Consider the following 27,707-nt stretch of genomic DNA (forward strand, 5'->3'; position numbering starts at 1 on the left):
AGCCTAGACTTAGAAGCTGCTAAGCAAATATGAGGTTTCATTTTTGGCTGAGAAAAAGGAAAATGAGGACAATTACTGAAGCAACTGTCCTAAAATCATTTTTATTTTTAGTGTTTAGCTGCTGAGAATCACGGTGTAGTTGATGGACCAGGAGTGAAAGTTCAGGAGTACCACATAATGTCTTCCTGCTATCAGAGGCTGCTGCAGATTTTTCATGGGCTTTTTGCTTGGTAAGTATGTGGGAAGTGTGGAGAGAACTGAGTATATACTTGCTTTTATTTGACAGTCACCAAGGCACTGAAATGTAGAAAAGAAAGAAAAGGTTCAAAAATCTTATGTGAATATGGTTCATTAATTTTGTGGGAGTGTTTTTGTCTGTATTATTTCATTTGATCTTGTACCCTCTGAGTCCTTTGGAGCCACTATGTTAACCCATTTGACAGATTAGGTGACTTGCTGATGAGCTGATAACAGATGTGGCCATCTGTTCCTTAGTCCAGTTTCCTTTAGCATGCTTTAATTCCAGATTGTTTGGTGATGAGCTGAACACTGTGAGCTGGGCTATTCCATGATACCTTCATGGAAACAGTGGGACTCAAGGGAACCCCAGAAGGGTACATGGCCTTTAGAGAGATAACGGAAGGAAGTGGAAGGTACAACATGGACAAAAGTAGAACTAAGGGAGGTGTGCCCCTTAAATACTTTTGTTCCTCAGGGACAGGCGTTGGGCTCTCTGTTCTCATTATACAAGATTTCTGGTCAATCCTACCCAAGCTTAAATTTAGCCAAAATTTATTTTCTGAGCTATAGGCATTTATATCCAACTGCCTACGCAACACCTCCTTAGATGTGGCATTGACACCTCACACTCCACATCCAAAATGGAATATGTCATCCCTAGCATGCTCCTTCAGCTTTGCCTGGCTTAGTAAATGGTACCACCAGTTGCCTGAACCAGAAACCAGGAGTTATTCTTTGTCCCTCCCTCTGCTCTCCACCGTCTTTTTCCCACATCTGATTGCCAAATCCTGTTGATTTTATTTTCTGTTATAAATAACATCTAGATAGCCATCTGTCCCTGTTTCTCCACTGCTTCCAGACTCCCATTATCTCTCAACCTGGACTGGGCTAGGTTCACACTTGGCCTCTCTCAGTCCATTCTTCACATGGCAGTAAGAGTGATCTTCCTAACATAAACCCAGTTTGATCCTATCCCAATTTTGATTTCTGATTGCTCTTAGATTTTTCTTGAGTTAAAACTCTCTTACCTAGCCTCTAGGTCTTCTTCTGACTCCTGCTATTCCACTTATTATGTTATACTCTGCCTCCAGCCTCACTGAATTAATTTGAGCACCCTATATAGCTTTTACGTGGGAGGCTTTGCACATGTTCATTCTCCTGCCAGGACCCCCACTCTTCTTGATCCCCAGCTTTTTCTGACTCATCACATCTCTTGAGATCTGAACTTAAGCATCCATCCTGCCTCTCTAACCCCCAGTTCTCTTCTAACACTCTGGTATCCGTTCGTGATAAAACTTAATCTCATTTTATTATAATTACTTGTTCATCAGTCTTTCCTGCTAGACTCTGAGCTCCATGAAGGCAGATGTCTGTCATTTTTATATCCTCATTACTTAAAAGCAGTGCCTGACAAAAACTTTGAACAATTTATCAAAGAGACTTATAGATGGCAAATAAACATGTGAAAGGGGCCTGACATCGTGGCTTATGCCTGTAATCCCAACACTTTGGGAGGCCAAGGTGGGTGGATCACTTGAGCTCAGGAGTTCGAGACCAGCCTGGGAAGCATGGCAAAACCCTGTCTCCATAAAAAATACAAAAATTATCTGGGCATGGTGGCATGCATCTGTAGTCCCAGCTACTCAGGAGGCTGAGGTGACAGGATGGCTTGAGCCTGTGAGGCAGAGGTTGCAGTGAGCCAAGATTGCAACACTGCACTCCAACCTGGGCAACAGAACCAGACCCCATCTCAAAAAAAAAAAAATCTGGGCCCCATGGCCCAGTGAAGTTAACACAGAAAATAAACCATCTCTAAAAATTATAAAAACAATTAAAATAAATACATGAAAGGATGTTTATTACTTCTTAAGGAAATGCAAATTAAAAGCACAATGAGATAGCACAACACACTCACTAGCATAGCTACATCAAAAAGACTTAGCATGCCAAGTGTTGGTGAGAAGGTGGAACAGCTGGAGCTCTCACATGCTTCTAGGGGGACTTTACAATGGTACATCCATATTGGGAAATAGTTTGGTAGTTTCTTAAAAAGCTAGACATGCACCTACCATGTGACTCAGCCATTCCATCCTTAGGTATTTAATCAAGGGAAATGAAAGCATACGTCCACCGACCAGGCGCAGTGGCTCACGCCTGTAATCCCAGCACTTTGGGAGGCCGAGGCGGGCAGATCATGAGGTCAGGAGATCGAGACCGTCCTGGCTAACACGGTGAAACTCCGTCTGTACTAAAAATACAAAAAATTAGCCGAGCGTGGTTGCAGGCGCCTGTAGTCCCAGCTACTCAAGAGGCTGAGGCAGGAGAATGGCCTTAACCCGGGAGGTGGAGCTTGCAGTGAGCCGAGATCCCACCACTGCACTCCAGCCTGGGCGACAGAGCAAGACTCCGTCTCAAAAAAAAAAAAAAAAAAAAGGTATGTCCACCAGGGTCTGGTACAGGAATATTTTGAGCAATTTAGCCTGTGGTTTTACATAGTATATTCTAAACTTGTTTCCCATGCTTTTGTGTGTGTGTGAGAGACAGAGTCTCACTCTGTCGCTCAGGCTGGAGTGCAGTGGCGCGATCTCGGCTCACTATAACCTCTGCTGCCCGGGTTCAAGCGATTCTTCTGCCTCAGCCTCCTGAATAGCTGAGATTACATGCGCCTGCCACTGCACCTGGCTAATTTTTGTATTTTTAGTAGAGACGGGGTTTCACCATCTTGGCCAGGCTGGTCTTGAACTCCTGACCCCGTGATCTACCCACCTCAGCCTCCCAAAGTGCTGGGATTACAGGTGTGAGCCACTACACCTGGCTTTTTTTTTTTTCTTCCCTGAGACAGGGTCTTGCTCTGTTGCCCAGGCTGGAGTGTAGTAACACAATCACAGCTCACTGCAACCTCTGACTCCCAGGCTATAAATCCTCCCACCTCAGCCTCCCAAGCAGTTGGGACTGCAGGCATGTACCACCATGCCCAGCTGATTTTTCCTTTTTTTTTTCTTTGGTAGAGACGGGGTTTCGCCATGTTGCCCCCAGGCTGGTCTTGAACCTCTGGGCTCAAGTGATCCACCCGCCTCAGCCTCCCAAAGTGCTGGCATTAGAGGCGTGAGCCACCATACCTGGCCCAAATTCAACATTTTAAGTACATGAAGTGTATTGTACATCAACTATATCTCATTGAAGCTATGGTAGACCAAAAACCTGACACCTAATAGGCCCTCAGAATACATTTGTTGAAAGGAAGAATGACTATCACTGGTGATCAGGAAGATGCTTCTAGAGGAGAAGATCTAGGACGTCAGATTGTGCTGGGCCTCAAAGGTCAGGCAGAATAATTTAAATGTTGTCCAGGGAAGCCATTTTGGAGTTTTATGATCACAGCCATAATACAATGAAAGCAGTGGTTTAAGAAAACACTTCTGGCAGCAGAGTGCAGGACAGATTGAAAAGGGATGCAAAAAAGAACACTCAAAAGGTGTCACTATGATCTACACATGTATTGATAGGGGCCTGGCCAAAATGATGGTCTAGGCTTGGAAAGGAAGGGACAATATGAAAGGTAATCCAAAGATAGAAATGTCAAGACTTGACTCATTAATGTAGGAGAAGGGGTAAGTACCACTATGGGCTGGACATTGATTTAGCAGTTTGACAAAATTATTCCTGTATTTTTGAAGAAGACTACATATCTCTAAAATATAGGGAATGAAGGAGAGCTTTTTGCCCTTCAAAGTAAACCTATGGCCCAGGCGTGGTGGCTCACCCCTGTGAAAAGAAAGAGGAAAGAAGAAAAGAAACCTATGAAGACTTCAGGAAAGATTACTTTGGATGTACTTCAGTTTCTACTCTGATACTTAGAGCTGTGATTGAATTTGGTACTTCAGTACTTTCCATTTCAATTCTTTTTTCTTTTTTCTTTCTTTTTTTTTTTTTTTTGAGATGGAGTCTCGCTCTGTCGCCAGGCTGGAGTGCAGTGGCACAATCTCGGCTCACTGCAGCCTCCACCTCCCGAGTTCTAGCGATTCTTCTGCCTCAGCCTCTGGAGTAGCTGGGACTACAGGTGCCCGCCACCACACCCAGCTAATTTTTGTATTTTTAGTAGAGACGGGATTTCACCGTGTTGGCCAAGATGGTCTCCATGTGTTGACCTCGTTATTCGCCCGCCTCAGCCTCCCGAAGTGCTGGGATTACAGGTGTGAGCCACCACGCCCGACCTCTCAATTCTTTTTTCAAACCGTTAAACTATTGATGGTACAGACTGGAGGCCAGGATCCTTAAATACTATCCAAGTAGTTTTCCAGAAACTAAGCTAACCCCTCTTACCTTGACTTCCTTAGGAGTGGATTTTCTCAACCTGAAAATCAGAATTTACTGTATTCAGCCCTCCATGTCCTTAGTAGCCGACTGAAACAGGGAGAACACAGCCAGCCTTTGGAGGAACTACTCAGGTGAGTCATAACTACATAGCCAAGATTGTTGTCCCAAGAAACTCCTAGGAACAGGATTGGCAACTTTCTTTAAAATAACCTGGGTGTCTTTCAGTAGTTGTAAAGGAAATTATTTTCAGCTACTCTCCTCATATATGAGCTTTCTCATCTATGTATTCTGATAAATCCTGAAGTATTAGAAACCTTGAATAATCATGCTAAATCTTCATGAATGCATCAGCCCATAAACTCAGCCTTTTCAAGTAATAATGATGAAAACATTGACCATCTGTAATCAACTCTTGATTATCCAGGGACCTACTGTCTCCCAGCAGATTTGGGTAATTAGGCAGCAGCTAGTTATCACTGATAGCCTGTTTCTTTCCCCTTGTCTTGTAGGAAGACCTTATGTGGCTGAGGGGTAGGCAGTGGACAAGGGAGGTGACATGATCTCAGGGGCATGGCTTTCGGCCCCCTCCCCCTTCAGTCAGAGTGACTTGGTCTTTCTCTCACTTCCCTTGGTAACCTAGACCATCACTGGGTCAGCAGTCAGTGCTTATCATCCCTGTCTATAGGTCAGGACCTTATATCTTCTTTTTTTTTTCTTTGAGAGAGAGTCTCACTTTGTCACCCAGGCTGGAGTGATCCCAGCTCACTGCACCCTCCACCTCCTGGGCTCAAGTGATTGTACTGCCTCAGCCTCCCAAGACGCTGGGATTACAGGCGCATGCTGACACACCCTACTAATTTTTATATTTTTGTAGAGATGTTTTCGACATGTGGCCAGGCTGGTCTCTAATTCCTGAGCTCAGGTGATCTGCCTGTCTCAGCCTAGCAAAGTGCTAGGATTACAGGCATAAGTCACCATGCCCGGCCTGTGAACCCAGATTTTACAAATTATTTTCAGTGTATTGCCTAAGGCTTTAAAGAGCAGATAATTTATCTAGGGTTGTACATATTAGCGTGGTGCTTGGGTTTCTCAGCATACATGACCCCTTCAAGGCCAACATTCCATCAGTGGGGCTGTCTTCTGCCCTGGCTTTTTCCATACAAAGGTATGGTTTTCTACCAAGATGCTTGAAGAGGGTTGCTACTAAAGCACCTGAAAATAAGGAGGATTCTGATTAGGCCGTCAAACACTGAAAGGGACTTGGGCACGTCATGTGGATTTAAATATATCTGTGACACATAGGATACTATTGCATTTGTTTGTTTTTCTTGTCTCCTTACAGCCAGAGCGTCCATTACTTGCAGAATTTCCATCAAAGCATTCCCAGTTTCCAGTGTGCTCTTTATCTCATCAGACTTTTGATGGTTATTTTGGAGAAATCAACAGCTTCTGCTCAGAACAAAGAAAAAATTGGTGATGGGCCTAGATCCTTTTTTTTTTTTTTTTTTTAATGAATAGGACTAATATCTCACACTTACAAACTTTGGGCTTCCCAGGACATTTTTACATGTAAATCCCCACATAACCTTGGATAGGCCCTCTTGCTATACCAAGAAGGTCATTTTCCCAGAACAACCTGACTGATTTCTGCTAAAATTGCTTAGTCTGAGTTTGGTTAGACAAGCTGAGTAGATAGTTTTCTCTTTGGCTTAAGTTTAATCATGTTCTTCCTTTTCAAAAAAAAAAAATTTATCTGAGACATTTGACAAAACGAGACATAAATCATGAGGTTAATAAAGTAGGAAATAAAGGAGAAATCAGGGTCAAGTATAAAAGAAATACTGGCCTCTTCCCTGGCCTTTTTCTTTTTTTTTGAGACAGAGTCTCGTTCTGTCACCCAGGCTGGAGTGCAGTGGTGCGATGTTGGCTCACTGCAATCCTCTACCTCCCAGGTTCAAACGATTCTCCTGCCTCAGCCTTTCAAGTAGCTGGGATTACAGGTGCGCACCACCGTGCCCAGCCAATTTTTGTATTTTTAGTGGAGACGGGGTTTCACCATGTTGGTCAGGCTGGTCTCGAACTCCTGACCTCGTGATCCACCTGCCTCAGCCTCCCAAAGTGCTGGGATTACAGACGTGAGCCACTGTGCCCAGCCCTGGCCTCTTTCTTAAACTGTCTTTTATTGTAGCTCTTAGAATGCAGCTCATCCTAGTTGGCAGCACATCAGAAAGCAAGATAAAAATGCAAAACAAACCTTTATTTATCCCTATTGATTAAAAGGGGAAGGTTTGGTCTCAATCTTGGAGGTGACCACTGCTATTGGCCAGCCCAGGAGGAACAAGATTGGCCTTCCCACTGCCCAGCAGCATTCCTTTTCTCTGTGTGTCTGTATTTATGTTCATGTTTGCATGTTTGTGTGTTTCAAGATGGGGTTGGGGTGGGACGTGTTGAGCCTTAGGCAAATGAGTTTATGTCTGGCAAAAGGGCCAGTGGATCAGGAACGTGACAGCTTTTTGTAAGTTGCCTGTTAGACCGGGAACGTCTTAGTAAATCTAAACTAATAATCCTTTTGATCAATAATCATCCTCAAAAACCTGAAAAGCAAGAATGAGGTCAAGTTCCCATATGTAAGATTCCTTTGTCTTCTTTTCTAACAGCTTCCCTTGCCAGACAATTCCTCTGTCGGGTGTGGCCAAGTGGGGATAAAGAGAAGAGCAACATCTCTAATGACCAGCTCCATGCTCTGCTCTGGTGAGATGTTTGGTTTCTTCCAATGAGCCAAATAGCTTTTTTCTATTTTGCTACTGTTGTTTGTCAGAGACTGGACAAATGACCTTTTTAGTGGGAATTTGAAAACAATGAAGTAGGTTAAAAATGAACACAATTTGGAACATGTGGATCTTAAGATCCTCTGGTTCTGTTTTATACTGTTAGCTAACTGCTTATTGTTAATTCAGATCATAGAGGAATTAGAGGAATCTGTAGTTGTATTCTACTTTGTTAATTAGTGGGTCAAATATTTGACTCTCAATGCAGTATCTACCTGGAGCACACAGAGAGCATTCTGAAGGCCATAGAGGAGATTGCTGGTGTTGGTGTCCCAGAACTGATCAACTCTCCTAAAGATGCATCTTCCTCCACATTCCCTACACTGACCAGGTAAGGGAGTTCTTTCCTCCAGTTTTTCCCTTAAGATAGAATCATCATCAGGCTGGGCACGGTGGCACACACCTGTAATCCCAGCACTTTGGGAGGCTGAGGCAGGAGGATCACCTTGAGGTCAGGAGTTTTGAGACCCACTTGGCCAACATAGTGAAACCCTGTCCCTACTAAAAATACAAAAATTAGCCGGGCGTGGTGGCACATGCCTGTAATCCCAGCTACTTAGGAGGCTGAGGTAGGAGAATTGCTTGAACCTGGGAGGCGGAGGTTGCAGTGAGCCGGGATCGCGCCACTGCACTCCAGCCTGGGCAGCAAGAGCGAAACTCCATCTCAAAAAAAAAAAGAATCATAATCACACTGTCCAACGTATATAGCTTCCACACAACTGCCTTGCTCCTCCTCATCTAATTCTGATACAGACAGTAGATATAATCATTCATTCAATAAAGAGAGTCTGTTATGCATTCCTTTCAAGGGCTCTCAGCTAATATATTTGAGAGGACCATGGTGGTTTTTGTTTTGTATTGTTTTGTTTTGTTTTTGAGAAAACTTGTCACCCAGGCTGGAGTGCAGTGGCGTAATCTCAGCTCACTGCAACCTCCACCTCCTGGGTTCAAACGATTCTCCTACCCCAGCCTTTCAAGTAACTGGGATTATAGGCACCCACCACCACACCCGGCTAATTTTTGTATTTTTAGTAGAGATTGGGTTTCACCATGTTGGCCAGGCTAGTCTTGAACCCAACCTCAGGTGATCTGCCTGCCTCGGCCTCTCAAAGTGCTGGGATTACAGGCATGAGCCATTGTGCCCAGCTGAGATATTTTAGCCATCTTGAGAACAGGGTGCTCACATGTATGTCTCACTTAATGGGTGTGTGTCTCAGAATATCAATAGTTATCTTAACATTTGTAGTCTTTTCAGTTTATAAAGCACTTTCACTTTATCTCATTTGATCCTTTTGATAATTCTGTGAGGTTGGTATCATTGCCCCTATTTTACTGCTGAGGAAAATGAGAGCTAGAGAACTTCTCAAGCTTACACGTGCAATAAAATAAACATAGAACCAGGACTCAAACTCAGATCTTCTCACTGTTACTTCATTGCTTTTTCCATACTACCATAACACCTCCTTTCATAAAGTTAATTCCATTGTTTGACAGGCAATCTTCTTGGGCTTATTACTGAGTCCTTTCCGCTCCCCCATCCTCTTACTAAGGACCCTAGTGAAAGGACATTTAGAGAGGTAGGGAAGGAAGCTACTTTTGGTTCCTGGTTCTTCCCAGGTAGTTCTAAGCAGTGCATCATGGTGTGGGCACGCATGCTTTTCCCGTCTTCTAGGCATACTTTTGTTGTTTTCTTCCGTGTGATGATGGCTGAACTAGAGAAGACGGTGAAAAAAATTGAGCCTGGCACAGCAGCAGACTCGCAGCAGGTGAGTAAGATAATAGTCACTTCAAGAAGTGGACTTTGGATTACTTGGAAGTTGCTGATTTTTTTTTTTTTTTTTTTTTTTTTTTTCTGAGACAGAGTCTTGCTTGTTCTGTTGCCCAGACTGGAGTGCAGTGGCATGATCTCGGCTCACTGCAACCTCACCTCCTGGGTTCAAGCAATTCTCCTGCCTCAGACTCCTGAATAGCTGGGATTACAGGCATGCGCCACCACACCCGGCTAATTTTTATATTTTTTAGTAGAGACAGGGTTTCACCATGTTGGCCAGGCTAGTCTCGAACTCCTGACTTCATGATCCACCCACCTCGGCCTCCCAAAGTGCTGAGATTACAGACGTGCGCCACTGCGCCCGGTGGTAGTTGCTGATTCTTCTATGTCTTGGGTCCAAGTTTTCTCCTAAGCTGTTTTTTGTTTTTGTTTTGTTTTGAGTTTCTGAGATTCAGGATTTTTTTTCAAAGAGTTCCTAGTTTAATTTCCTTTCCCTCTAGTTAGAGGTGAGGAATGGGCTCTCTTTTCCTTGGCTACTGCCCAGTTTGCCTCCTGCTAACTGGCATGAGGTAAGCCAGCCTGTTTGAGATACTGTGGATCTTGGCAGCCTGCTAACCAGAACGGAGCTAGACAAGTAAGAGAAAGGGCTAGCATAGGGAAGCAGAGAAGCTACAGCCAGTATATGTTTTTTCTTTTTTTTTTCTTTTTGAGACAGGGTCTGAGTCTGACATCCAGGTTGGAGTGTAGTGGTGCAAACTTGGCTCACTGCAGCCTTTGCCTTCTGGGCTCAGATGATCCTCCCACGTCAGCCTCCCAAATAGCTGGGACCACAGGTGCACGCCACCATGCCCGGCTAATTTTTCTATTTTTAGTAGAGGCGGGGTTTTGTCGTGTTGCTCAGGCTGGTCTTGAACTCATAGGCTCAAGCAATCCTCCCGCCTCAGCCTCCCAAAGTGCTGGGATTATAGGCATAAACCACTGCACCTGGCATAAACCAGTGCAGCCCAGAAGGCAAAGGCTGCAGTGAGCCAAGTTTGCACCACTGCACTCCAACCTGGATGTCAGACTCAGACCCTGTCTCAAAAAGAAAAAAAAAAGAAAAAACATATACCGGCTGTAGCTTCTCTGCTTCCCTATGCTAGCCCTTTCTCTTACTTGTCTAGCTCCGTTCTGGTTAGCAGGCTGCCAAGATCCACAGTATCTCAAACAGGCTGGCTTACCTCATGCCAGTTAGCAGGAGGCAAACTGGGCAGTAGCCAAGGAAAAGAGAGCCCATTCCTCACCTCTAACTAGAGGGAAAGGAAATTAAACTAGGAACTCTTTGAAAAAAAATCCTGAATCTCAGAAACTCAAAACAAAACAAAAACAAAAAACAGCTTAGGAGAAAACTTGGACCCAAGACATAGAAGAATCAGCAACTACCACCGGGTGCAGTGGCGCACGTCTGTAATCTCAGCACTTTGGGAGGCCGAGGTGGGTGGATCATGAAGTCAGGAGTTCGAGACTAGCCTGGCCAACATGGTCAGTATATGTTGCAAAGGCTTTTACTTACTTGGGAATTGCTGAAGAGGAAACTTTTTAGAAAGTCTGTCCCTATGAGGTGTTCTAATGTTACCACAACATGTGCAGGCCTCAGAACCATCTTGTGGATGCACTGGTTGCTACATCTAAGGATAATTGGCTTAAATATCTGTATAGCTATGTAATTCAAGAACTATATCTTAGTGGGAATACAGTAAGGGAAGTATTTGGCTGTGACTCAGAGGTGCCCATATATTTGGCTGCCCCAGATTCATGAAGAGAAACTCCTCTACTGGAACATGGCTGTTCGAGACTTCAGTATCCTCATCAACTTGATAAAGGTGAGTATGGAGACTGCTTGACACATCTCACCAAATAACTGCAGAAACCAAGTGTCCTGGCTTCCAAAATGGACTTTCCTTGCTCCTCTTCCCACTCTTCCTTGGGGCCTGCTCTCCCTGAGTCGTCTTCTTCCTTTGTCCCCCTACCCATCCTGGATAACCCCTTTTCTCACTAGGCATTTTTTTTTTTGTCTTTTCCTTCCTTCCTCCTACTTATGCCACAATACTATTTAATGACTCCTTCCATCTGTAATTCCCTCACTTTTTCACCTTGCCTTGGATCCTCTATGATCTGAGCGCACATTCCCTCTTCTAACCCTGAATGCCCTCGTTCTCCTTTAAACACACTGTGCTCTCACCCACTCCATCGTGGTTTTGCTCAGCTTGTTCCCCCAGCCTAGAATGTCCTTGTCTCTCCACCTCTTTCATGTCTTTTTTTTTTTTTTTTTTTTTTTTTTGAGGCAGGGTCTCACTCTGTTGTCCAGGCTGGAATGCAGTAGGGTGATCACAGCTCACTGCAGCCTCAACCTCCTAGACTCAAGAATCTTCCCACTGAAGCCTCTGGAGTAGCTGGGACTACAGGAACATGCCACCACACCCAGCTAATTTTTCTATTTTTTGTGGAAACAGGGTCTCATTCTGTTCCCCAGGCTGGCCTCGAACTCCTGGGCTCAAGTGATCCACCAGCCTCAGCCTCCCAAAATGCTGGGATATCAGGCATGAGCCAGCATGCCCAGCCTCATCCAGTCTTTCTTAAGTCTTCAGATCAAGGTTTTGGACCTCTAATAATGCCATCTTCTCAACACTCCCAGTTGGAATCAGTTTATTTCTCTTTGCTCGTCTCTTCCTTTTCTTGAACTTCAGTTGTGATAATTACTTTATTCTGCTTTGTAATATTAATTTAAATGTTGACATTCCTCCATTTTAGAATTCTCTGCAGCACCCAAAGCTGTGCTTTGCGCAGCGGGAAAGAGGCTGGAGTGCTCAAAGGAGCAGATCTCAGCCTTGGTTTCTTGTCTTTCACCTCTCCAGGTATTTGATAGTCATCCTGTTCTGCATGTATGTTTGAAGGTGAGAGATTTACTGGGCCCTGTTTCATATTTATTCTTCCTGTGGATCACTCTAGAGAGGACCTCAGCTGAGATAAATTGCTCAATTTCTTGCCCACAAGCCAGAGTTTCCAGAATCTATGCCAGTTTAGGGAAGGCAATGGATGCATTTTCCCACCCTAGTTGGATGATTGGAGAAGCCAGTTTTCCTATGAATTTGAAAACTTTTGGTAAGAATCTTAGTACTAGGAGGAATGGCTTCAGGGCAGTTGAGTTTAGGAGCAGTAGTTACCTTCCGTGCCATTCCTTACCAGGCAAAAGGGAGGAAGGAGGAGTAGATGATTTTTCTTTAAAGTCTATGGGTGGCCTTACAAATGTGGGATCTGATATCCTGATAATTGCCAAACTTCTCTTTTGTGGGAATAGCCTGTATTAGCCCTAGATTTGATGGGAAGTCCAGTCAGAATGTTATGGGGAGAATGCTACTTCGCCACTCCTCAAGTTTCCTTCCAAGTGGATGGTGCCCCATTCTTGTCATCTCCTGGTCACTCTCCCTTTTTACTCCACCCTTGCGCAATGTGGGAGATGGGCAAGTTGGAGAGAGGAGTCATTTATCTGATTGGGAAATTTAGAAATTGGTCATATGCTTTCTCAGCTTTACCCAGTTTTTCCCTCTTGGGAGTAAGTTATCCTCAGATAGAGCTCCCCTCTACTCTATGCTCTCACTCCTAAGCTGAGCAAGTTCCCTGTCCATCGACTGTATCTGTGGTAGGTAAGTCTGCCTAATTCTGGGGCTTAGTTAACAGGCCTATTTGATTTTTGTATTAAGTTACATTCTCCAAATAAACCTTTTGGACCCTTCCCAATTTGTTTTTTATATATATAAATAAGAAAATAAAACCCTTGGGCTGGATGAGACTATTCTGCCTCAGGGGCCTTTCAGTGAGATACCTCAGCTAGAGGTAACAGTGTGTCTCTCTTCTTCAGTATGGGCGTCTCTTTGTGGAAGCATTTCTGAAGCAATGTATGCCGCTCCTAGACTTCAGTTTTAGAAAACACCGGGTAAGAGCTAAGAGCAGAGAACAAAGATATGCACTGAAGAGTTGCTCAGAAGATATGTCCTTGGTGACTCCTGGGTGGGGCTGGGAGTGTTCTACCTGGGCTCCTCTGGTCCACTTCAGCTGTAGCCAGAGATCCCCAAATTGGACTGAATATTCCAAAGTAGGCTGAACTCCTCAGGCCCACTCTGGATCAAACCCACCTTTCTATTTCTTCTCCAGATCTGACAGTGGTCTTCCTTTTAGCTTGATTTTATTGTGCTACTGCACTCTCAGGTCCTCATGTATCAGTGTGTCATTTGCTTATTCCTTTATGCTTCTGTAGGTATACTCTCAGAAATGATTTTAAAAAAAAAAAAGCTCATTTGTGTCATAAAACCCTTTGCTGTGGTAATGAACAGTCTTGACAGTTTTTTAGCCAATGGCATCCAGGGCTAGAGTGATGAATTAAGGATAGAATCACATTATTTCCTATACATATTTAGCAAGTTGAACAAAATACTCACCATATTTGGTTGGTCCCTCACAGCCCTGAAAGAGAAAGGGAAGGTGGTATTTTATCCTAATGTTGCAGATGGGAAAACTGAGACATGGTAACCTATGTAAAACTAAAATGCAGGTCTTATAACTCTCAGATTGATACAAGGGACAGAAATGGGAGAGTTGAGAATAAGAGGTAGCTGCTATTCCTCCTATTTGAGAGGCAAATTAAGATGATTATCAGCATAGGCTGGAAACTGCAGAGTTTATCCTCTTTGGAGCTTTTGATTGCAAGGGTATCTTGAATCTAAAATGAAATCAGGACATTTCATAGAGCATTTATAAACTTATTGGTTATAGGAAGATGTTCTGAGCTTACTGGAAACCTTCCAGTTGGACACAAGGCTGCTTCATCACCTGTGTGGGCATTCCAAGGTAAGAAGGGGAGCAGGTTCTATCAGCAGCCTGCCTGTTGGCTTAATCTGCAGTTGCTATTGGGGGATCCATGGGCTACCATCCTTCTTCCTTTATATCTGGGACTGTGTCTGTCCAAAGGCAGTTTATTCAGAGCAAATCCTTAGTTGCTCCTTGAGATTGGGCAGTCCTCTAGAGGGGAATCTCCGCATCTGAAATTTGATTCAAACTCCAAAGCTCTTTTTCCTCTAGAAACTTCTTGGGTGACAGAAATAGAATGCTGGTATATGTTTACTTCTGCAAAGTCCTCTAGGTAACAGGACTGTGATGTAAGTGATGATCCTGCAGGAGACAGGAGGTGGCTCTAAAGCAGCCATCTGTAGAGGCTTTCATCTGTGCCACTTACTTTCAAGGAACTCATCTATGTCTTATGAGAACATCTTAGCATTAAAGGATTTTTCCACTTGAAGCCTTCTTATAGTTAATGAGGTATTGTCACGTTTTGTCTGAATGAACACAGAACCCTAGAGTTCTGCAGTCACTGGCAAACCAAATGATTCTTGAGTCCAGTTTCTGTTACTTACTTCCTCCTCTGGTTCTAAATTTATAAGGTCCTGAACAGTGATTTTTTTTTTTTTTTTTTTTTGAGACGGAGTCTCGCTTTGTAGCCCAGGCCGGAGTGCAGTGGCACAATCTCTGCTCACTGCAAGTTCCGCCTCCCGGCTGGACAGTGAATGTTTAAGGAATTCTCTTAGCTAAACAGGGCTACTCTATTGTTTAATATCAGTAAAATATATATTCAAGAATATTTTAGGTAAATTCATTGAAGATCGGCCAGTAAGAGGTTATGAAGAGGAACTAGAGGTGTTGGTGGTATGTCTTCTAGGCTTTGAATTCTTTAGCTGCCATTCTCTTTGGATTACTCTGCCAAACTATTCCTGTTTGATGGAACATACCGTTGGCCCATACTGGCAGGGCTTGTGTTCTTATTCAACATTCAAAGGTTTCTATAAGAAATGTGAAGGCATGATGATAAACTCACAAAAGATGGATGTTATTTATTTCCATTCAGATTCACCAGGACACGAGACTCACCCAACATGTGCCTCTGCTCAAAAAGACCCTGGAACTTTTAGTTTGCAGAGTCAAAGCTATGCTCACTCTCAACAATTGTAGAGAGGCTTTCTGGCTGGGCAATCTAAAAAACCGGGACTTGCAGGTAAGCCTTGGATCCTGCTAGTGATAATCCCCTACTCTTATTCTTTGTGACAGCATCAGATGGCATGTAAGGAAGGTCACCTAAGCCCTCGTCTCTCAGTAAGGCTACTTTTCTCTTAAGTCTGTGACTGTTTAACTCTTAAAGTTATGGTACATTACTCATGGGCCCTGGTCACAGGCTGCACCCCTCATCTTAGGCAGCAAGGCACCAAAACATGCCATTGATATAAACAATGCCTCAGACATAAAGGAGTCAGACCAGTACAAACCTCTCTCCACAGCTAGAGGAGCTCCTTTAAGCCCCACTGAGGGTAGATTCATAATAACATTTTTGTATAGGGACAAACATTTCTTTTGTTATTTTTTTTCCCCTAAGCCAATCTGTCTTATTCCAGAAATTACAAATTAATCTCTTATTGGGGGACCTGCCCCGATAATCACGTAGGTTCTTTTCTATTTTCCTAAGTGTCAGCTGGCTTGAGAAATAAAGGGACAGAGTACAAAAGAGAGAAATTTTAAAGCTGGGCGTCCGGGGGAGACATCACACGTTGATAGGATCCGTGATGCCCCACAAGCCACAAAAAACAGCAAGTTTTTATTAGGGATTTTCAAAAGGGGAGGGAGTGTGCGAATAGGTGTGGGTGACAGACATCAAGTACTTAACAGGGTAATAGAATATCACAAGGCAAGTGGAGGCAGGGTGAGATCACATGACCGCAGGACCGAGGCGAAATTGAAATTGCTAATGAAGTTTTGGGCACCACTGTCATTGATAACATCTTATCAGGAGACAGGGTTTTGAGATCAACAGGTCTGACCAAAATTTATTAGGCGGGAATTTCCTCTTCCTAATAAGCCTGGGAGCGCTATAGGAGACTGGAGTTTATTTCACCTCTGCAGTCTCGACCATAAGAGACAGGTACACCCGGGGGGGCCCAGTTCAGAGACCTACCCCTAGGTGTGCATTCTCTTTCTCAGGGACGTTCCATGCTGAGAAAAAGAATTCAGTGATATTTCTCCCATTTGCTTTTGAAGGAAGAGAAACATGGTTCTGTTCCGCCCGGCTCACCGGCGGTCAGAGTTTAAGGTTATCTCTCCTATACCCTGAACAATTGCTGTTACCCTGTTGTTTTTTCAGGGTGCCCACATTTCATATTGCTCAAACACACATGCTGTACAATTTGTGTAGTTAACGCAATTATTACAGGGTCCTGAGACTATATACCTCCTTCTCGGCTGACAGGATTAAGACATTAAAGTAAAGACAGGCATAGGAAATCACAAGGGTATTGACTGGGGAAGTGGTAAGTGTCCATGAAATCTTTACAATTTATGTTTAGAGATTACAGTAAAGACAGGCATAAGAAATTACAAAAGTATTAATTTGGGGAACTAATAAATGTCCATAAAATCTTCACAATCCACGTTCTTCTGTCAAGGCTTCAGCCGGTCCCTCCGTTTGGGGTCCCTGACTTCCCGCAACAATCTCTAATTTTAACTAATGAGCATTTATAAGGTTTTTTTTAGTTGTCTGATTAGCTGAAATCTTGTGTTGTTTATAATACTACTTTGGAGTTACAACATTTTTCAGATAGGGTAGTATAAGCCCTTTTCTTTCATGCTTACAATATCTGAGTCTTGTAGTCAATTATATATGAAATATATAAAACAGCACCACAGAGAATTAGCTTCCTTTCTTCACATCAACCTTATGAGGCAGATACTATTGTTTCTGCATAAAAATTGAAGCTCAGAGAAGTTAAGTAATTTACCTAATGTCATTCAACAGTGAGTGGGTGGAGCCGGAGTTTGAGTCCAAACAGTCCCAAATCCAGAGCTGATGTTCTGAAACCACCTCACCATACTGTCCTTTAGCCTCCGCATGGCCATTCGTGCTTGGTGTGATAGTGCTTAGATACCTTAAGGTATTTGGGAAATTTTAGAACCATGTTCAGCATCGACTTAGAGTCACCAATACAGTCTAGCCTTTTAAAATGTAGTGTGATACTAGCATACTAAGATGAACCTTTCGTTACATTACTTATTGTATCAGGGCCACAGACATCTCAGAAACCTGGAGTTGAGTATCCCTCCTCTAGATGCTGAATCACAAGTTGGTATCCATGTTTGCTGTGTTTTGAATGGCTAAAATATCTTCCTTTGTATTGCCTGTAAACTCAACCTTCTCCCCTATTACCCTAAATGTGATCATTATAACCCACCATTTTCTTGGTCCATTCACATTTAGGGTGAAGAGATTAAGTCCCAAAATTCCCAGGAGAGCACAGCAGATGAGAGTGAGGATGACATGTCATCCCAGGCCTCCAAGAGCAAAGCCACTGAGGTATCTCTACAAAACCCACCAGAGTCTGGCACTGATGGTTGCATTTTGTTAATTGTTCTAAGTTGGTGGAGCAGAACTTTGCCTACTTATGTTTATTGTCAAATGCTTCTATGCCCATTTCCATTCCCTCCATAACAGCTTCTGTGCTTATATAATTTTTGGGACCCAGAAGAAACAACGACACAATCTTAGAATCACTCCTGAGTATCTCGAGTTGTGGCATTTGTTATAGAGTTGACAATTTTCTGCATTATAGCCTCTCATTTTCCATGAATTCATATCTGAAACCATTTTAGAAGGGAGAAGTCATCGAAGTATTTTCTGAGTGTTGAGAAGAATGAGTTAAACCATTTAAACACATTTGAAACATACAAAAATAGAAATGTGAAAGCATTTGGTGAAAGCCAAAGCACAGAGTCAGAAGCTGCCACCTTAGAGAACTGAAATAAAAATAGAAGTTCTTACGCTTTTTTGTGGTACAGATGCTTTCGACAATTTAAAGAAAGCTAAATAAAAATGTAGACATGGCTGGCGCAGTGGCTCATGCTTGTAATCCTAGCACTTTTTGAGGCCAAGGTAGGAGGATTGCTTGAGTCCGGGAGCTCAAGGCAAAGCTGCACAACATAACAAGACCCTATCTCCACAAAAAAAATGAAAAATAAACCTGGGTGCGGTGGCTCACACCTGTAATCCCAGCACTTTGGGAGGCCGATGTGGGCAGATCACAAGGTCAGGAGTTCAAGACCAGCCTGGCCAACATAGTGAAACCCCATCTCTACTGAAAATACAAAAATTAGCTGGGTGTGGTGGCACGTGCCTGTTATCTCAGCTACTTGGGAGGCTGAGGCAGGAGAATCACTTGAACCTGGGAGGTGGAGGTTGTGGTGAGCCGAGATCATGCTACTGCACTCCAGCCTGGGCAACAGAGTGAGACTCCGTCTCAACAACAACAAAAAAGTGTACATTTATAAAATTTTGTCACAATTCAGGTAGGTTATAGACACCAAAAAGCTCAGATTTAAGAACCCCTGCTGTGGGGCCTCTGTCTGTAATGCAATTTGAGTCTGATCCAGAAAGATCATTTAGTATGAAAAGTCTGGCCTGATGGGGTGGCTCACACCTGTAATCGTAGCACTTTGTGAGGCTGAGGTGGGAGGACCGCTTAAGCCCAGAATTTCAAGACCAACCCGAGACCCCATCTCTACAGAAAAAATTTTTTTGAGCTAGCCAGGCATGGTGACGCATGCCTGTGGTCCCTGCTACACAGGAGGCTGAGGTGGGAGGGTTGCTCAAGCCCAGGAGGTGGAGGCTGCAGTGAGCCATCATCACACTCCAGCCTGGATGACAGAGCGAGACCCTGTCTCAAAATAAAAAAGTTATTTTATTTACATGGTCCCCAGTTTTATTTGTATAATATACCCCTTCTACTTTTTTCTCAGAATTTGAGGCAGACAATATCCTATTAGTTTGGTACTTTCCCCTAAGCAGATCTCTCATACTAGTATCGTAAGCCAGACAGAACAGAATTTTGTACTGGATTCCTGTTGAGATACACCAGCACAGCACTTCTTTTTTTGAGACGGAGTCTCCCTCTGTCGCCCAGGCTAGCATGCAGTGGTGCAGTCTCAGCTCACTGCAGTCTGTCTCCCGAGTTCAAGCAATTCTCCTGCCTCAGCCTTCCAAGTAGCTAGGATTACAGGTGCCTGCAACCATGCCCGGCTAGTTTTTGTATATTTAGTAGAGACAGGGTTTCACCATGTTGGCCGGGCTGGTCTCGAACTCCTAACCTCAGATGATCTACCCACCTCAGCCTTCCAAAGTGTTGGGATTACTTTGGCGTGAGCCACCGTGCACTGCCATACCACCACTTGTAATAAATATTTCATTCTATATCGAATGCCCTCTTTGTTCCTATGTCATATACATGCAGTAGAGCTGGAGGACCATAGCTTATTTAAAATTATGCAAATTGGGCCGGGCGCAATGGCTCACGCCTGTAATCCTAGCACTTTGGGAGGCTGAGGCAGGCAGATCACCTGAGGCCAGGAGTTTGAGACCAGCCTTGCCAATGTGGAGAAACCCCGTCTCTACCAAAATACAAAAATTAGCCGGGCGTGGTGGCACATGCCTGTAATCCCAGCTACTTGGGAGGCTGAGGCAGGGGAATCGCTTGAACCCGGGAGGCAGAGGTTGCAGTGAGCTGAGATCATGCCACTGCATTCCAGCCTGGTGACAGAGCAAGACTCCTTTAAAAAAAAAAAAAAGTTTTAACAGTGATAATAGTACAGTTGTGTATCCTCTAGGAGCTGTATTCCAGAGGTCACCCAGAGCAGTAACCTAAAATGCTTATTTATTTATTCTTTGCCCCTTAGGATGGTGAAGAAGACGAAGTAAGTGCTGGAGAAAAGGAGCAAGATAGTGATGAGAGTTATGATGACTCTGATTAGACCCCAGATAAATTGTTGCCTGCTTCTGTGTCTCTGCCAGCCTGTGATCATTTTGTGTTAGAGTTTGAAATCCGCTGTTTGCCTTTCTTACTGGTAGGATCCTTTTTTGTTCCTCTTTTTTTTTTTTTTTTTTTTTTTTTAAAGACGGGGACTCGCTGTGTTTCCCAGGCTGGAGTGCAGTGCTGCAATCTTGGCTCACTGCAACCTCCATCTCCTAGGTTCAAGCGATTCTCCTGCCTCAGCCTCCTGAGTAGCTGGGACGACAGGCACATGCCACCATGCCCAGCTAATTTTTGTATTTTTAGTAGATACGGGGTTTTACCATGTCGGCCAGATGGTCTCAATCTCCTGAACTCATGATCCACCTGCCTCAGCCTCCCAAAGTGCTGGGATTACAGGCATGAGCCACCGCTCCCAGCCATATTTTGTTCTTAAAGTGGGGTCTTTATTAACTTGTGGACATCATGGATTGTCTAACACCATCACAGTCCCTGGCTCAGGATTCTAATGTAGCATTATTTATTGGTTTGGATAAACCCAGCTGTGCTACACTGCAGAGTAAAATCTCTGAGTCATGATTCTGGACTTTGGGAGCTAGTTTTGAAACTCTGATTTATTGTAGAACTTAGGCTTGTACCAATTTTACAAATAAATTCTGTTCTAAGTTCTGCCTCAGTTGCCTCATTTATCTTTCTGGATTTGCTTCATTATTCAAGGATTAGGTGGAATTGAATTGAGATTTGTGCAGAGAAATTATGGAGACTGGTGCTAACATAGTTCTGCCGATTAAAATCATGTCTCCTATTGTAAGAACCAACTTCATCTGAGATGAGATATATCTGATCTTTCTGGAGGATTGACTTGATCTTGATCTTCTTTCCTTTTTTTTTTTTTTTTTTGAAACGGAGTCTCACTCTATCGCTCAGGCTGGAGTGCAGTGGCACGATCTCAGCTCACTGCAACCTCCACCTCCCAGGTTCAAACAATTCTCCTGTCTCAGCCCCCTGTATAGGTGGGACTACAGGCACACGCCACCATGCCTGGCTAATCTTTGTATTTTTTAGTAGAGACAGGGTTTCACCATATTGACCAGGCTGGTCTTGAACTCCTGACCTCGTGATCTACCCGCCTCGGCCTCCCAAAGTGGTACAATTACAGGCGTGAGCCACCATGCCCGGCCAACTTCAATTTCTTGTCAGTGCCCAAAGAAAGTCAAAAGGAATGTTTTGGCTGCTTTTAAAATTTTTTTGATTGGTGTAATAGTATAAGACCAAAAAAAAAGCTGGGCGCGGTGGCTCGCGCCTGTAATCCCAGCACTTTGGGAGGCTGAGGTGGGTGGATCAGGAGATCCAGGAGATCCAGGAGATCAGGAGATCGAGACCATCCTGGCTAACACAGTGAAACCCCGTCTCTACTAAAAAATACAAAAAATTAGCTGGGCTTGGTGGCGGGCGCCTGTAGTCCCAGCTACTCGGGAGGCTGAGGCAGGAGAATGGTGTGAACCCGGGAGGTGGAGCTTGCAGTGAGCTGAGATTGTGCCACTGCACTCCAGCCTGGGCAACAGAGCGAGACTCCGTCTCAAAAAAAAAAAAAAAAAAGACCAAAATAAAATAAAATAAAAAAGCAGCATCAAACTCATGTTAACTTTGTATATGTAATGTTTATTTCCATTTTCTGAGTTATACCTAACCTAGTTACAAGAACGCTACAAAGGCCAGATATTGTGGGTCACCGCTGTAATCCCAACACTTTGGGAGGCCGAGGCCAAGGCATTGCTTGAGTCCAGGAGTTCAAGACCAGCTTGGGCAATGTGGTGAAACTCCATCTCTACTAAAAAAAAAAAAATACAAAAATTAATGGCCGGGCGCAGTGGCTCATGCCTATAATCCCAGCACTTTGGGAGGCTGAGGTGGGCAGGTCACCTGAGGTCGGGAGTTCGAGACCAGCCCGACCAGCCTGGAGAAACCCTGTCTGTACTAAAAACACAAAATTAGCTGGGCGTGGTGGCACATGCCTGTAATCCCAGCTACTAGGGAGGCTGAGGCAGGAGAATTGCTTGAACCTGGGAGGCAGAGGTTGCGGTGAGCCGAGATGGCGCCACTGCACTCCAGCCTGGGCAACAAGAGCAAAACTCCATCTCAAAAAATAATAATAATACAAAAATTAGCCAGATATGGTGGCCCGCACCTGTAGTCCCAGCTACTCAGGAGGCTGAGGCGGGAGGATCACTTGAGCCTGGGAGTTTGAGGCTGCAGTGAGCCAAGACCATGCTACTGTAGTCCAGCCGTGATGACAGAATGAAACCCTGTCTCCAAAAACCAAAAAAATGCTACAAAATTACATTAGGAGTACATTTCAGCTAAAATGGAGACTCATGAGTTCCATGTAGCCTACCAGAAAGCCTAGCTTCAGTGCTGCTACCAAGTTCTTTCTTGCCAGGCTGTAAGTATTGTTTAATATCAGTATTTCTACCCACTTTTGTACACTCTAGTGGTATTAGGGTGTGGTTGGTTAGGGTTTTTTTCTTATTTTCATTGTTTTGGTCGGGGGAGGTTTTAAAGTAATCCTTGACCTATATATATAGATTTTTGACATCCCCTGGTACATAGAAATCCATACATCTTTCTCCTCTACACCCCTTTTCCCCCCAATTCATTGTGGTTGTAGGTGTTTATGTGAGTTCACACTAGGCTCATTGGTTTATATCATTTGTTTAACGGTTATCACATGGACATGTCAATGCTAGTTTGACTCTAAATGGTTCAACCTTACAATGGGAATGTTCTTCCTTGTTCTCTATCATTGGTCCTTTTTTGGAGGGGAAGGGATGAAAGGGGCTCCTGAATCATCACTGCTTGAAACAAAAGCAAGATGGCTGGGACAATGTCACAGTTTCATTTACATGGACAGGTTTCTGTAAGCTTTAGGTACATACCAAAGGGCATGGTGTGAGTAAATGGGGATCAAATGAGGACCCTTTACTTGGAGTGCTGCAAGGCAAAGGTGCACTTTTTGTAAGTTGCATACAGCAAGAGGATAGAGCGCAGCATCTGTTTGCACATAGTGACTGTCATCTGAATCTGAGGCTCCTTCAGTCCAATGGGCCACTGGTGCTCCCTGCTAATGATTTTGCAAAAGGCTGACTTGTCTGAAACTCTGAAAGTCCCGGTCCACTTTGGTGGCTGAGCTGTGATAACCCTGCCAAAGACAGAATCTACTCCACTGAGGCGGATGGGCTGGGGCTTCCTGACCAGTCCTTTGTTGTTCATCGTGCGCAACTCTGATGTGTGGCAGGGTAACTTGGGACTCACTCCAGATTCCAGGAATGGGCTGTCTAGGACTAGAGTGACCTCTTGAAAGCACAGCTGCACTTCAAGGTCGGACGGTGTGTGTGGGAAGCAGGGGGAGGCCTTGAATGGGTGCTTGGAGGAAGGTGTAGGTGTCGTGTGCCGCAGCCATTGGAAACTCTCATCCAGTGGGGTCCATGGTGACCAGAGCTGGTATCCTGCCATTGACAGTCCTAAAGGAGGGAAATCAGAGCATGGAATTTCCCTGACATGCTTTTCATGAGAGCATGGCCTTTCAAATTCCCATCTCTGTCTCACTATAGACATAAACTTGTTCTATAGTTCCCATGAATAGATTCCAACAGGTGTTAGGATATTAGTAATTATTTTATTTTATTTTATTTTTTCTTTTTTGAGACAAGAGTCTCGCTCTGTCACTCAGGCTGGAGTGCAGTGGAGCGATCTTGGCTCACTGTATTTTTTTGTAGTGACAGAGTTTTGCCATGTTGGCCAGGCTGCTCTCCAACTCCTGACCTCAGGTGATCCACCGCCTCGGCCTCCCAAAGTGCTGGGATTATAGGCGTGACCCACTTCGCCCAGCCTAGATATTAGTAATTCTAATAAAGGGAAGTAGGGAATGATTACAAGTATTGATCTGGCAACTGCTATGTGTACTAAAACTTTATATTAAACTTTTTCACAAGCCTTTGGAAGTAGGTCTTAACCCATTTTATAGATGAGGCAATGGATTTGTCTGAAATGAATATAGGTCCACTGTTAGGACCTATGCTGTGTTGTTAGCTGCTAATGACAGAGTCTTTATCTTCTGAGGTGACAGAAGCTTCTGGGACTTCATGATGAGACCTTATTACTTGAGATTAGAAGAAGCTCAGAAAAGTCATGTCTTAAAAATATTTGTGGCTGGACACAGTGGCTCATGCCTATAATCCCAGCACTTTGGGAGGCTGAGGCGGGCGGATCACTTGAGGTCAGAGTTCCAGAACAGCCTGGCCAACATGGTGAAACCCTGTCTCTACTAAAAATACAAAAATTAGCCGGGCGTGGTGGCGCATGCCTGTAGTCCCAGCTCTGTGGGGAGGCTGAGGTGTGAGAATTGCTTTAACCCAGGAGGCGGAGGTTGCAGTGAGTCAAGATCGCACCACTGCACTCCAGCCTGGGTGAAAGAGCAAGACTCCATCTAAAAAAAAAAAAAAAAAAAAAATTATATATATATATATATATATATATATATATATATATATATATATATATTTTGAGGTTCGCGATGTATGAACCCTGTAGTAGCAGCTTCAGCATCATTTGGAAACTTGCAGAAATGCACATTTTTGGGCCCCACCTCAGACCAACAGGAACAAACTCCACGTGGGACCCAGCAATCTGCATTTATATAAGCCCTCTTGCATTGTCTATTTTGAGAATTTCTTATGCTATTCCTTTCAAACAACTCTAGCTTTCACTATTCATTACTGAGATCATCTCCTGGCCCCAAAGGCCTCTGCATTTTCTAGCACAAGGGAGCAACTTGCAGACCCCTGGGTTATTTATATACCACCTCAGAGGAGCTACACCAGGCTGGGAGAAAACACTTCCAAAGTCCAGTCAAAAAACTGTTAAAGATTTTTGTTTTTCTAGGTGTGGGTGTGGTTTTAAATTTGTTTTTCTGATTTGTTTGTTTTCCATCTATGGAAGACCTACTGGTTCCATAAGACCTTAATTTTCTTTTTCCTTTGAAGATTAAAAAGGGCTGTGAGGATATTGCTAACTGAAAATTTATGCAAGTAAAATTAGAATTTTCCATCATTCTCCTTCAACATTGCCAGTATATAAGAAGTTTTACTAAATTCAGAAGCTAATTTTTTTTAGCACGTACCTATTTTGTTAGTGGGCATAGCAGGTCCCTTTTCTTTCTAGCCAAGTGTATTTCTCTGCCCCTTCTTCTCCCACAGAAGATAGCAGCAGATCTCATCCTATCCAGTAATTGCCCCAGAAATACTGTGAAAATTTTGACACCTTCACCGCCGTTTGTGAGATAGAAAAGTTCGTTTTAAAAAAAGAACTGTTGGCCGGGCACAGTGGCTCACACCTGTAATCCCAGCACTTTGGGAGGCCGAGGTGGGTGGATCACTTGAGGTCAGGAGTTCAAGACCAGCCTGGCCAACAGGGTGAAACCCCGTCTCTACTAAAAATACAAAAATTAGCCAGGCGTGGTGGTGGGTGCCTGTAATCCCGGGTACTCAGGAGGCCGAAGCAGGAGAATCACTTGAATGGAGGCTGCGGTGAGCCGGGATCAAGCCATTGAACTCCAGCTTGGGTGACAGAGGGAGACTCCGTCTCAAAAAAGAAAAAAACGTTGGTGACATTTCAGACCAGAAGACCTGCTCCTGACAATGGTTAGTATAGGGGGATTTGTTGATTTTCTCCAACTAGTATGTTTCTCATGATCTATGTAGGCTCTTTGCAAAGTACTAAGTGTTCAAATATCTGGGCTGCCTTAGAATGAGAAAGGGACACCCAAGGGACAGTTATCTATTCCAAACACCCTGTGAAAGGCTTCTGGTGCTTGATATCTTGACCTTCAGAGCACATATCCAAGAGAGGGACTACTGTGGTACACCACCATGGCAAGGTGGGCGGAGGGTATGAATGCTGTCAAGCATATTTTTAATCCCAGAATATGGGATTTAAAAAAGTATTTAATCCCAGGATCCTTTTCTTTCTTTCTTTCTTTTTTTTTTGAGACAGAGCCTTGCTCTGTCACTCAGTCTGGAGTGCAGTGGCGCGATCTCCGCTCACTGCAAGCTCCGCCTCCCGGGTTCACGCCATTCTCCTGCCTCAGCCTCCCGTAGCTGGGACTACAGGCGCCTGCCACCACGCCCGGCTAATTTTTTTGTATTTTCAGTAGAGACAGGGTTTCACCGTGTTAGCCAGGATGGTCTCGATCTCCTGACCTCGTGATCCGCCCGTCTCGGCCTCCCAAAGTGCTGGGATTACAGGCGTGAGCCACCGGGCCCGGGCCCCCCGGATCCTTTTCTTGCCACATCTTCTAAGAGGAAGTAGAGGTAGAAGTAAAAGTCTTTGTCAAATGTCCAGCCTAGGTCGCGGCGCGGTGGCTCAGGCCTGCAATCACAGCACTTTGGGAGGCCAAGGCGGGCCAATCACTTGAGGTCAGGAGTCAGCCTAAATATTCGGCAGAACCAACATGGGACGAGAGCGCTTCTAAACCTAGGTCCCTGCACCTCTTCGCACAAAGTTTAAAGATGGTTCACCCCATCCCCACCGCCCAGAAGTCACTGTCAACCACTCCAGAAGGGCTTGAACCTACAAAGTCTGCTCAAGCTGCTCAATAGCTCCCAGATATGGAACACCTGATTCTCCTGGCCAAAAAGGTTTCCCCTTCACACCCCACTTCCCATTCCAAGGAACCCCATCTCTTGATTTCCCCACCTGGGAAACAGGGCGTTAGCGCCAAAGTGCAGCTGAGGTCCTGAACTGTAAACGGAGATCCCGAGGGTCTGGAGCTGCCGAGAGTGCGAGAGGCTCCCACTCCCCGCCGGAAGAAGGGGCTTGGGCCTCCTGGGTCCCTATCCGGGGGCGGGGACCAGAAGGTTCTGGCTGAGGCGGACGATGCGGTGGGAACCTGGGCCCAGTCCCACCATCCGGGCCCGGGGCTCACCTGCTGAACTCTGAGGGTCTCACGCTCCAAAGTGGCGGCCGCTGTTCGTGGCGCCTGGCAACCGCCTTTGTGACCCAGGACGGCAGGGCAGCCCGAGCCGCGGCGGGGATGGGGGCTCGAGGCGCCCTACTGGGAGGCGTCAGGGCCACACTCCCCGCCCCCACCTCATTGGAATGCCTTGTCCAGGACTTGGCCTTCAGGAGGGCTGGTCCGAATCCTGTCCCCTCCATTGTCCTCCTCCCTACCGTGCCACACCTGTGTACCTGTGTGCCTTTGATCAAGCCACAGAGGACAGGCGACCCCTACTTCAATGGCCATGGTCAGAGGCCTGCATAAAAGTCCCAGGACCTGTAGTTAGTGTTAAAAGTTAGTCCCAACTCATCACACTCTGCTCAGTGGGTGCTCAGGCAGAGTGACCCAGAGCTCTGTCAGGTTTTGTTGCTCTATTTGAATGATCCCAGTGGCAAAGAAAGAGAATTAATAAATGTTCACCTGTCAAGAGCAGGAGGAAACGCACGTCTTTCCTTGATTTCCTGACAGAAAACCTTTCTCAGCCTTGCGTTAAACCTGAGAGTACCTGTAATCCCAGCTATCTAGGTGGCTGAGATGGGTAGACTGCTTGAGCCCAGGAGTTCAAGACCAGTCTGGGCAACGTAGTGAGATTCCCAGCTCAAAAAGAAAACAAAAAAATCTCAAAA

General features: G+C 44.6%; 2 protein-coding genes across 13 annotated transcripts in view, besides 1 other annotated feature; one reads left to right on the top strand and one right to left on the bottom strand.

The window, feature by feature from the left end:
* FANCD2 (FA complementation group D2) overlaps nt 1–20,698 on the top strand; it is a 75,496-nt gene extending 54,798 nt beyond the window's left edge. For 3 of the 5 annotated variants that reach the window (NM_001319984.2, NM_001018115.3, NM_001374253.1), the window contains 13 exons: nt 112–230; nt 4,578–4,688; nt 5,900–6,030; nt 7,215–7,308; nt 7,594–7,716; nt 9,058–9,151; nt 10,947–11,018; nt 12,051–12,089; nt 13,055–13,129; nt 13,966–14,040; nt 15,092–15,238; nt 17,486–17,581; nt 19,954–20,698. In NM_001319984.2, coding sequence (NP_001306913.1) covers nt 112–230; nt 4,578–4,688; nt 5,900–6,030; nt 7,215–7,308; nt 7,594–7,716; nt 9,058–9,151; nt 10,947–11,018; nt 12,051–12,089; nt 13,055–13,129; nt 13,966–14,040; nt 15,092–15,238; nt 17,486–17,581; nt 19,954–20,028 — 1,251 coding nt within the window. In that variant the 3' untranslated portion in view covers nt 20,029–20,698. Of the gene's footprint in view, nt 1–111; nt 231–4,577; nt 4,689–5,899; nt 6,031–7,214; nt 7,309–7,593; nt 7,717–9,057; nt 9,152–10,946; nt 11,019–12,050; nt 12,090–13,054; nt 13,130–13,965; nt 14,041–15,091; nt 15,239–17,485; nt 18,110–19,953 lie in introns of those variants that run through there. The other 2 variants (NM_033084.6, NM_001374254.1) reach the window with 2 other exon arrangements.
* Nucleotides 86–27,223, bottom strand: FANCD2OS (FANCD2 opposite strand). Of its 8 annotated transcripts, XR_007095632.1 has the most exons (6): nt 26,781–27,021; nt 25,207–25,303; nt 22,964–23,548; nt 13,632–13,656; nt 5,898–6,006; nt 86–297 (listed from the first exon to the last, which is right to left on the bottom strand). XR_007095632.1 is itself a non-coding variant. In XM_047447400.1 (4 exons), exons 2-3 carry the CDS (start codon nt 25,223–25,225, stop codon nt 23,007–23,009), a joined length of 561 nt encoding a protein of 186 aa, XP_047303356.1. In that variant the 5' UTR covers nt 25,226–25,303; nt 26,781–27,021; the 3' UTR covers nt 86–297; nt 22,964–23,006. The 8 variants fall into 8 exon arrangements, 3 of the variants coding, with proteins under 3 accessions (XP_047303356.1, NP_775743.1, NP_001158311.1); XR_007095636.1 differs by lacking the exon at nt 25,207–25,303 and having other exon boundaries at nt 27,010–27,223; XR_007095635.1 differs by lacking the exon at nt 25,207–25,303.
* Nucleotides 15,637–16,184: an enhancer, noted in NCBI's record as "NANOG hESC enhancer chr3:10138555-10139102 (GRCh37/hg19 assembly coordinates)". NCBI's record gives its function as "activates a minimal SCP1, AML or CMV promoter by ChIP-STARR-seq in naive H9 embryonic stem cells {active_cell/tissue: H9 hESC(naive)}" and the evidence as "EXISTENCE:reporter gene assay evidence [ECO:0000049][PMID:30033119]".

This window comes from Homo sapiens, chromosome 3 (assembly GCF_000001405.40).
Source record: "Homo sapiens chromosome 3, GRCh38.p14 Primary Assembly".
In the NCBI taxonomy this organism is placed as follows: domain Eukaryota; kingdom Metazoa; phylum Chordata; class Mammalia; order Primates; family Hominidae; genus Homo; species Homo sapiens.